Here is a 9685-nt window from a genome sequence, read left to right on the forward strand (position 1 = left end):
GCATGAGCCACTGCACCTGGCCACAATTGTAGGTTTTATGTGCAGTGTATTTCCATCTGCAAAGCAAGTTGTACCTATGCACTTTTTTTTTTTTTTTTTGAGACAGAGTCTCACTCTGTCCCCCAGGCCGCAGTGCAGTGGCATGATCTTGCAAGCTCCGCCTCCTGGGTTCAAGCAATTCTCGTACCTCAGCCTCCCAAGTAGCTGGGACTACAGGCTTGTGCCACCACGCTCAGCTAATTTTTTTTGTATTTTTAGTAGAGACGGGGTTTTGCCATGTTGGCTAGGCTAGTCTTGAACTCTTGGCCTCAGAGATCCACCTGCCTTGGGCTTACAAAGTACTGGGATTACAGGCATGAGCCACTGCATCCGGCTTTTTTGTTTGTTTTTTTGAGACACAGTCACACTCTGTTGCTTAGGCTAGAGTGCAGTGATGTGATCACAGCTCACTGCAGCCTCAACCTCCCTGGGCTCAGGTGATCCTCCTACCTCAGCCTCCCTAGTAGCTGGTACTAAAGGTGTGTGCCACCACACGCAGCTAGTTTTTATATGTTTTGTAGAGATGGGGTTTTGTCACATTGCCCAGGATGTTCTAGAACTCCTGGGCTCAAGTGATCTATCTGCCTCAGCCTCCCGAAGTGTTGGGATTTCAGGTGTGAGCTACTGTATCCAGCCCCCTATGGGCTTTTATATGCAGAGAATACCTTTAGGAGATATTTAAAAACTGGGGAGAGGAACAGGGATGTTTGAGTGGGAGAGAGACTGAGTTTTCACTTTTGTGTTTTTTGAATTATTATTATTTTTTTCTGTCCAGGCATGGTGTCTCAAGCCTGCAATCCCAGCACTTTGGGAGGCTGAAGTGGGAGGATCACTTGAGGCCAGGGGTTTGAGACTAGCCTGGGCAACAGAGCAGGACGCCATCTCTACCAAAAATAAAAAGATTAGCTGGGCATAGTGGCACATGCCTGTAGTCTCAGCTTCTTGGGAGGCTGAGGTGGGAGGATTGCTTGAGACCAGAATTTAGAGGCTGCAGTGAGCTGTGTTCATGCCACTGCACTCCATCCTGGGCAACAGAGCAAGACCGTGTCTCTAAGAAAATAAAACAAAAGGCCAGGCACGGTGGCTCACGCCTGTAATCCCAGCACTTTGGGAGGCTGAGGCGGGCGGATTACGAGGTTAGGAGTTCGAGACCAGCCTGACCAACATGGTGAAATCCCATCTCTACTAAAAATACAAAAATTAGCCAGGCATGGTGGCACGTGCCTGTAATCCCAGCTACTCGGGAGGCCGAGGCAGGAGAATCGCTTGAACCCAGGAGGCAGAGGTTGCGGTGAGCCGAGATCATGCCACTGCACTCTAGTCTGGGCAACAGAGCGAGACTCAGTCTCAAAAATAAATACATACATACATGCAAAAATAAAAAATAAAACAAAAACAAATTAAAATTTTTTCTTTTAATTATTATTCATTCAGTTGAAAACTCATTTCATTTAAAAAACAAAGATCATTTTAATGCAGGGTAAGGATGTGTGTGTGTGTGTGTGTGCGTGTGTGCAGGGGAGGCTAGTGCAATCTGGGGAAGGATGGGGTGAGGTGGCAGAAGGGACAGGGACCCAAGGAAGGAAGGGAGAGGAGGGACTGGACTTAAGAAATTTTGTAAAAGAGTCAACAGGATGTGGGGGTGAGCAGCAGGCGGGGCACACATGACTGAGGTCTGCAGTCTGAAGATGCCTGTAACCTAGATAGGAGATGATTATCTTTTAGCATATGCTAAACGTTTAAGATAATGGCCATGGTGCCGTGCACAGTGGCTCACACCTGTAATCACGGCACTTTGGGAGGGTGATGCGGGATCATGATTTGATTCTGGGAATCCAAGGCTGCAGTGAGCTATGATCATACCACTGCATTCCAGTCTGGGACAACAGAGTGAAACCCTGTCTCAAAACAACAGCAACAAGAATCAGATGCTGGAGTGCAGTGGTGTGTGCCTGTAATCTCAGCTACTGGGGGAAGGCTGAAGTGGGAGGATCGCAGGAGCCCAGGTGGTCGAGACCAGCCTGGGCAACACAGTGAGACCCCATCTTCAAAAAAAGAAAAGGAAATTCAGAGATGGAAAGCACTAGGGCCATTCAAGAGATTGCTAAATGCTTTTGTGTCATCATTGAGCAATAAAAGGGCCCTTGAGACCCGGTTGCAGCCTTGAGAATTTTTTCCAGCCATGCTCAGCTTCCCAAGACAGGCACAGAAGGGAGAATAGATTCTGCAGAAGGTTCTGCTGGCCATTCTTGCTGTCTCTCTCTCTCTCTCTCTGTGTGTGTGTGTGTGTGTGTGTGTGTGTGTGTGTCACAGTCTTGTTCTGTTGTCCAGACTGGAGTGCAGTGGCACAACCTCGGCTCACTGCAACCTCCACCTCCCGGGCTCAAGCGATTCTCCTGCCTCAGCCTCCCGAGTAGCTGGGACTATAGTCGTGCGTATCATGTCCAGCTAATTTTTGTATTTTTAGTAGAGATGGGGTTTCACCACGTTGGCCAGGCTGGTCTTGAACTCCTTACTTCAAGTGATCTGCCCACCTCAGCTTCCCAAAGCCCTGGGATTACAGGCGTGAGCCACCGTGCCCGGCTGCTAGTCTTGCTTTGATTCCTGGCTCTACTGGGGATTCCCGATGCCCCATTCTTCCGTTGGGTAGGTATTCTGTGCCCGCAGTTCGCTCATCACAGCTTAGATCACTCTGTGCAGTGCTTGTCAACCAAATCTGCTGAGACCGACCCTCTCCCACCTTCCTGGCTCCTGCTGCAACGCCCATTCCACCTCTGAATTCCCCTCGCTTCTGTGGGCCAGTCCTCACCTCACCAGTCAGCCCCATCTCTACTGGACTGGCTTCTCTTTGAGGGGCTGAGCACAGAGCGGGTGTCCATATTAGAAAGCTACAATTAATTATTATTATTATTATTATTATTATTATTTTTAGAGAGAGACAGGGTTAGCTCTGTTGCCCAGGCTGGAGTACAATGTTGTAATCAGCTCACTGCAGCCTCGACCTGCTGGGCTCAAGTGATCCTCCCATCTCAGCCTCCTGAGTATCTGGGAATACAGGCATGACACTAGCTTTTTTTTTTTTTGAGATGGAGTCTCACTCTGTCACCCAGGCTGGGGTGCAGTGGCGCCATCTCGGCTCACTGCAACCTCCGCCTCCCAGGTTCAAGCAATTCTGCTGCCTCAGCCTCCCGAGTAGCTGGGACCACGGGCGCGCACCATCACGCCCGGCTAATTTTTTGTATTTTTAGCAGAGATGGGGTTTCACTGTGTTAGCCAGGATGGTCTCGATCTCCTGACCTTATGATCTGCCCGCCTTGGCCTCCCAAAGTGCTGGGATTACAAGTGTGACCCACCGTGCCCGGCCAATTTTAAAATTTTTTTGTAGAGACAGGGTATTAGTAGGTTGCCTAGGGTGGTCAAACCTTAAGTGATCCTCCTGCCTTGGCCTCCCAAAGTGCTGGGATTACAGCTGTGAGGCACCATGCTTGGCCAGGATTTGGTTTATTTTAGTATTAGAGACAGGGTCTTGCTGAGTTGCCCAGGCTGGAGTGCAGTGACGCGATCATAGCTCACTTCAGCCTTGAACTCCCGGGATCAAGTGATCCTCCAGCCTCGGCCTCACAAAGTGCTGGGACTACAGGCATGCACCACCACTCCCAAAATTCAGGAATTTTTTTTTTTTTTTGAGACAGAGTCTCACTCTATTGCTCAGACTGGAATTCCATGGTGCAGTCTTGGCTCACTGCAGCCTCCACCTCCTGCCTCAGCCTCTCAAGTATCAGGGACTACAGGCACGTGCCACCATGCCCAGCTAATTTTTGTATTTTTAGTAGAGACAGGGTTTCACCATGTTGGTGAGGCTGGTCTGGAACTCCTGACCTCAGATGATCCGCCCGCCTTGGCCTCCCAAAGTGCTGGGATTACAGGCATGAGCCACTGCGCCCAGCCCAAAATTCAGGATCTTTAGGCTCAGACCATAGCAGGACTCCAGTCTTAGTCCCAGTTAGGTGAAGACTAAGAGGGCACAGAAATGGGATTGGGGTGCAGGGGGCAGGAGTGACCCAGAGTGCATTGAGGGTGGGAGCATGTGGCATGTGGGACCTGCCTCTCTCCATAGGTCCCAGATGGGTTTGGCGGCTGTAGCTTCAAGACTAACAGGACCTGCTGGACCATTTGGGATGCAGATTTTGGAAGGGAAACTGAGACAAATTCTTTATTTTCTTTTCTTTCTTTTTTTTTTTTTTGAGATGGAGTCTCGCTCTGTTGCCCAGGCTGGAGGGCAGTGGCGCAATCTCGGCTCACTGCAAGCTCCTTCTCCCAGGTTCATGCCATTTTCCTGCCTCAGCCTCCCGAGCAGCTGGGACTACAGGCGCCCGCCACCACGCCCGGCTACTTTTTTGTATTTTTAGTAGAGACAAGGTTTCCCCATGTTAGCCAGGATGGTCTCGATCTCCTGACCTTGTGATCTGCCCGCCTCGGCCTCCCAAAGTGCTAGGATTACAGGTGTGAGGCACCGCGCCCACCTCCTCCCTCCCTCCCTCCCTTCCTTCCTTTCTTTTTTTCTGAGACAGGGTCTTGCTCTGTTGCCCAGGCTGGAGTGCAGTGGCATGATCTCGGCTCACGGCAGCCTCTGCCTCCCGGGTTCAAGTGATTCTCCTGCTTCAGCCTTCCCAGTAGCTGGGATTACAGGCAGGCACCACCACACCCGGCTTTTTTTTTTTTCTTTTTTAAATTTTTAGTAGAAACAGGGTTTTGCTGTGTTATCCAGGCTGGTCTTGAACTCCTGGTCTCACGTGATCTGCCCGCCTCAGCCTCCCAAAGTGCTGGGATTACAGGCGTGAGCCACTGCGCCCAGCCCAAACTGGGACAAATTCAAGCTTTATGGTCACATATGAATGCAAGGCATGGCTCTGTGCAGTCTTGGGTCAGTGAACCTCTCTGAACCTCCATTGTTCCACCTGTAAGATGGGGTCCTTCACAGCTCCTACCTCACAGGGCTGTGAAAACATCGTCCTTGTTGGGCACTTAGTAAGTTAACTCGTGCTTTCACCTGGCAAAGGTTTATTGCCTTAGTGATGACAGAATGAGCAAAGTCACGCTTGTTAAGGACCCCCCCCTCCCCAACTGTGCCTGGCACTTTGCCAACAGCACAGGACTCAAGACCCATTTCTTAATCACATGGCAGTTGGGAGGTAGATTCTGCTGTTAGTCCCCTTTGACACACACAGAAATGGAGAATGGGCAGCAGGTGTGATGTTGGAGGAAGACCAGGGCCCAGGGGCGGGGGCTGCAGCAGTGACCTGGTGACCCAGGGCCTGGGCAGGACTGGAGGCCAAAGGACTGGACTTTTAGGCTATTGCAGCCCAGGTAAACGAGGCTCTCATTGGCAGGGCCTGGCTCCCCACCAGGCCGGCAGGCAGATAGGCGGGCGAAAGAGAAGGCAGTATCCCAGGGCCCAGCTCAGATCTTCTCCACGTAGTTTCCTGGGAAAAGGCCCTCCTGGCCGTGAAGCCGGCCCTTCCACCAGCCCGAGGGATCTGTGGGAGAGAGGAAAGCTTGAGGTGCCCCTAGCTGGCCCTGGAGAAAGCTCTCATGCCTGGTCTGTCCATCTTGTTCATGGGGACTCCCTATGTTGTCCAGGCTGGTCTTAAACTCCTAGGCTTAAGCCATCCTCCTGCCTCAGCCTCCCAAAGTGCTGGAATTACAGGTGTGAGCCACTGCATCCGGCCATTTCTACTCTTTAAAAGTTTTTTTTTTGTAAATCTTTTGTAGAGATGGGGTCTTGCTAGGTTGCCCAGGCTTGTCTCAAACTCCTGACCTCAAGTGATCCTCCTGCCTCAGCCACTGAAAGTGCTGGGATTACAGGTATGAGCCACCTCGCCCATCTGTTATCTCTGTTCTCCCGTGGGGAGGGTGTGCAGTGGTGGGGTCTGCCTGGCAATGTCAGTCAGGGTTCTTTTTTTTTTTTTTTTTGAGACGGAGTCTCGCTCTATCGCCCAGGCTGGAGTGTGTTGGCGCAATCTCGGCTCACTGCAAGCTCCGCCTCCCGGGTTCATGCCATTCTCCTGCCTCAGCCTCCCGAGTAGCTGGGACTACAGGCGCCCGCCACCACGCCCGGCTAATTTTTTGTATTTTTAGTAGAGACGGGGTTTCACTGTGTTAGCCAGGATGGTCTCGATCTCCTGACCTCGTGATCTGCCCGCCTTGGCCTCCCAAAATGCTGGGATTACAGGCGTGAGCCACCGCGCCCGGCCGATGTCAGGGTTCTTACCACTCCCCTCACCCCAGCTTCTGCCCTGGTACACACACCTTCCATGAGGATCTCAATGACCTCGTTCACGTTGAAGCTCAGCTCGTCCACATCTTGGCCCACGTACTGGTATAGGGCCCGGCACCTGGGACCATGTGTCCGAGGCTGGGGCTTGGGTCGGCCCACACCAGGCACTGGCCGTTGCCCCACGCTGCGCTTCCTCTGCATGCTGTGGGCACAGGGGGTTTGAGTCACAGCCCCAGACACTCCCCTACCCCCTGCCCACCTCCTGGAGCTGCCCTCCCACCCCACCTACCCGGCCATGCCCTGGTCAGGCACGTTGAGGAATTCTGTGTTGTGCTCTGAGGGCGGACGTGCCCGGGGTCGTCTGCTGGCTCCCAGGGATGTGGACGGAGGGCCCCGGGGAGGCCTGTGGGTGCCCCCTCCAGACATGATCTCCAGGGGCAGGGGGCCCCCTCTGGCAGAGGGGGGCACCCCATTGCGATCCATGCCTGTGGCAGGAGCAAGGATGAAGACATGTATTAGGGTGATGCTAGGAGGATTTGAGGAGGACTTGGCTTCAAGTTCTCAGGCTGAGGGAGGAGACTGCGACACTCTCAACCCAGTGTGGTAAGGATTGGGCCAGACGGAGGGACTCTGCCGCTAGGAGGGCCTAGACAGAAGCTTTTTTAAGCATAATTTTAAAATTATTTTTTACTTTTTTTTTTTTTTGAGATGGAGTCTTGCTCAGTCGCTCAGGCTGGAGTGCAGTGGCGCGATCTCGGCTCACTGCAAGCTCCGCCTCCTGGGTTCACGCCATTCTCCTGCCTCAGCCTCCCGAGTAGCTGGGACTACAGGCACCTGCCACCACGCCTGGATAATTTTTTAAATATTTTTAGTAGAGACGGAGTTTCATCATGTTAGCCAGGATGGTCTCGATCTCCTGACCTTGTGATCCGCCCGCCTTGGCCTCCCAAAGTGCTGGGATTACAGGCATGAGCCACCGCGCCTGGCCAATTATTTTTTACTTTTATTTGTTTATTTTGAGACATGGTCTCACTCTCGCCCAGGTTGGAGTGCAGTGGTACAATCGTAGCTCACTGCAACTCTGACCTCCTGGGCTCAAGCAATCCTCCCTCCTTAGCCTCCTTTTAAGGGGAGCTGGGACTACAGGTATGCTCCACTATGCCCAGTTGATTTTTATAATTTTTAAAGTAGAGATGGGGTCTCACTATGTTGCTCAGGCTGGTCTCAAACTCCTGGCCTCAAGCAATCCTCCCACTTCGGCCTCCCAACATGCTGGTTTTACAGGCATGAGCCACTGTACTTGGCCTTATTTATTTTTTATTTGTTTAGAGACAGGGTTTTGCTCTGTGGCCCAGGATGGAGTGCAGCAGTGAGATCATAGCTCACTGCAGACTCCAACTCTTAGGCTCATGATATTCTCCCCTCTCAGCCTCCTAAATAGCTGGGACTATAGGCACACACCACCATGCCCAGCTAATTTAAAAAGAATTTTTAGGCTAGGCGCGGTGGCTCACGCCTGTAATCCTAGCACTTTGGGAGGCTAAGGTGGGCTGATCACGAGGTCTGGAGTTTGAGACAAGCCTGGCCAACATAGTGAAACTCTGCCTCTACTAAAAATACAAAAATTAGCCAGGCATGATGGCGTGTGCCTGTAGTCCCAGCTACTCGGGAGGCTGAGGCAGGAGAATTGCTTCAACCTGGGAGGTGGAGGTTACAGTGAGCCAAGATCACGCCACTGCACTCCAGCCTGGGCAACAGAGCAAGACACCGTCTCAAAAAAAAAAAAAAAAAAAAGGCCGGGCGCGGTGGCTCACACCTGTAATCCCAGCAGTTTGGGAGGCCGAGGCGGGTGGATCACGAGGTCAGGAGTTCCAGACCAGTCTGGCCAACATGGTGAAACCTTGTCTCTACTAAAGATAAAATTAGCTGGGCATGGTGGTGCATGCCTGTAATCCCAGCTACTGGGGAGGCTGAGGCAGGAGAATCTCTTGAACCCAGAAGGTGGAAAGTTGCAGTGCGCTGAGACCGCACCATTGCACCCCAGCCTGGGCAACAGGGCTAGACTCTGTCTCAAAAAAAAAAAAAAAAAAAAAATCTAGGCGTGGTAGCACACGCCTGTAGTCCCAGCTACTCAGGGGGCTGAGGCAGGAGAATCGCTTGAACCCAGGAGGTGGATGTTGCAGTGAGCCAAGATCATGCCACTGCACTCCAGCCTGGGTGACAGAGCGAGACTGTCTCAAAAAAAAAAAAAAAAAGAAAGAATTTTTGGTAGAGACAGGATCTTGCTATGTTGCCCAGGCTGATCTTGAACTCAAGTGATCCTCCTGCCTTGGCCTACCAAGAGTGCTTGGATTACAGGTGTGAGCCATCTTGCCTGGCCAGGAGTGGCTTTGCAGGGGCAAGTTTCCCTCCTCCTATCCTCTGTAGGAGAGCTTCTGTGGGTACGTCTTGGTGGATAAATAAGAGCTCAACGAATGGAATGGGAATTTGAGAGAGAAGCAGAGAAAACGGCCCAAAGGCCTGGAGGTAAGAATAAATTTTGTGAATTGGGAAAATAAGATGTAGTTTGAGGCCAGGCGCCGTAGCTCATGCTTGTTAATCCCAGCACTTTCGGAGGCCGAGACGGGCGGGTCACCTGAGGTCAGGAGTTCGAGACCAGCCTGAACAACGTGGTGAAACCCTGTCTCTACTAAAACGATACAAAAATTAGCCGGGCGTGGTGGCGGGTGCCTGTAATCTCAGCTACTCGGGAGGCTGAGGCAGGAGAATCGCTTGAATCCAGGAGGTGAAGGTTGCAGTGAACCGAGATCGCTCCACTGCACCCCAGCCTGGGAGACAGAGTTGGACTCCATCTCAAAAAAAAAAAAAAAAAAAAAAAGATGTAGTTTACAGGGCAGGAGTGTAGGGTAGGAGGAGAGAAGATGTCAGTGGTTAGCTGGGTTTGGGTTTTGAAGGGCTCTGAATGCCAAACTAAGTTTAGCCTTTATTCTGCGGGAGATGTGGAGCTACGGAGAGTCCTGGACAGAGAAGTGAGTGGTAAACTGTGTTTGTTAGATTTCGTTTGCTGAAGGTCTGGCTTAGGCCATGGGACCCACAACAGACAAGGGAATATAGCAAGGGACGCAGCTCCTCACCTCTGGGGGGCGCAGGGGCCGCCCGGGTAGGGGCTTGGGACGACCTCCGAGGTTTTCCCTTGGCCATTCCCTTCCGCGTAGGCTCTGAAAGAAGAGTGTCAGGGAGTTGAATGACAGACAGACCACGCTCTTTGCCCCGCCCACAAATCTAGTCCATTCTGAGGCTCCGCCGCACCCCGCCCCCTCAGGCTCTCCCATTAGCACCGCCCCTTAGGTACAGTTACACTGGCTCCGC

The 9685-nt window shown here is 52.1% G+C and overlaps 1 protein-coding gene across 11 annotated transcripts in view, besides 3 other annotated features; it reads right to left on the reverse strand.

Moving 5' to 3' along the window:
• Positions 1901-1960: an enhancer, noted in NCBI's record as "active region_13918". NCBI's record gives its function as "activates an Ori minimal core promoter by ATAC-STARR-seq in GM12878 lymphoblastoid cells {active_cell/tissue: GM12878}" and the evidence as "EXISTENCE:reporter gene assay evidence [ECO:0000049][PMID:35858748]".
• The window catches only part of MYO1F (myosin IF), a 56665-nt gene continuing 51729 nt past the window's right edge, over positions 4750-9685 (reverse strand). For 9 of the 11 annotated variants that reach the window (NR_199720.1, NR_199722.1, NR_199721.1 and 6 more), the window contains 4 exons: positions 9451-9534; positions 6606-6801; positions 6349-6518; positions 5084-5576 (listed from right to left, as the gene is read on the reverse strand). Coding sequence is in view for 8 of the 11 variants with exons in the window: in NM_001440614.1 (NP_001427543.1) it covers positions 5500-5576; positions 6349-6518; positions 6606-6801; positions 9451-9534 (527 nt within the window). In the remaining 3 variants the exon portion in view is untranslated. Of the gene's footprint in view, positions 5577-6348; positions 6519-6605; positions 6802-9450; positions 9535-9685 lie in introns of all 11 variants that reach the window. The other 2 variants (NM_001348355.2, NM_012335.4) reach the window with 1 other exon arrangement.
• Positions 6649-7148: an enhancer, noted in NCBI's record as "H3K4me1 hESC enhancer chr19:8587561-8588060 (GRCh37/hg19 assembly coordinates)". NCBI's record gives its function as "activates a minimal SCP1, AML or CMV promoter by ChIP-STARR-seq in naive H9 embryonic stem cells {active_cell/tissue: H9 hESC(naive)}" and the evidence as "EXISTENCE:reporter gene assay evidence [ECO:0000049][PMID:30033119]".
• Positions 9605-9684: a silencer, noted in NCBI's record as "silent region_10031". NCBI's record gives its function as "represses an Ori minimal core promoter by ATAC-STARR-seq in GM12878 lymphoblastoid cells {active_cell/tissue: GM12878}" and the evidence as "EXISTENCE:reporter gene assay evidence [ECO:0000049][PMID:35858748]".

This window comes from Homo sapiens, chromosome 19, assembly GCF_000001405.40.
Source record: "Homo sapiens chromosome 19, GRCh38.p14 Primary Assembly".
Classification (NCBI taxonomy): Eukaryota; Metazoa; Chordata; class Mammalia; order Primates; family Hominidae; genus Homo; species Homo sapiens.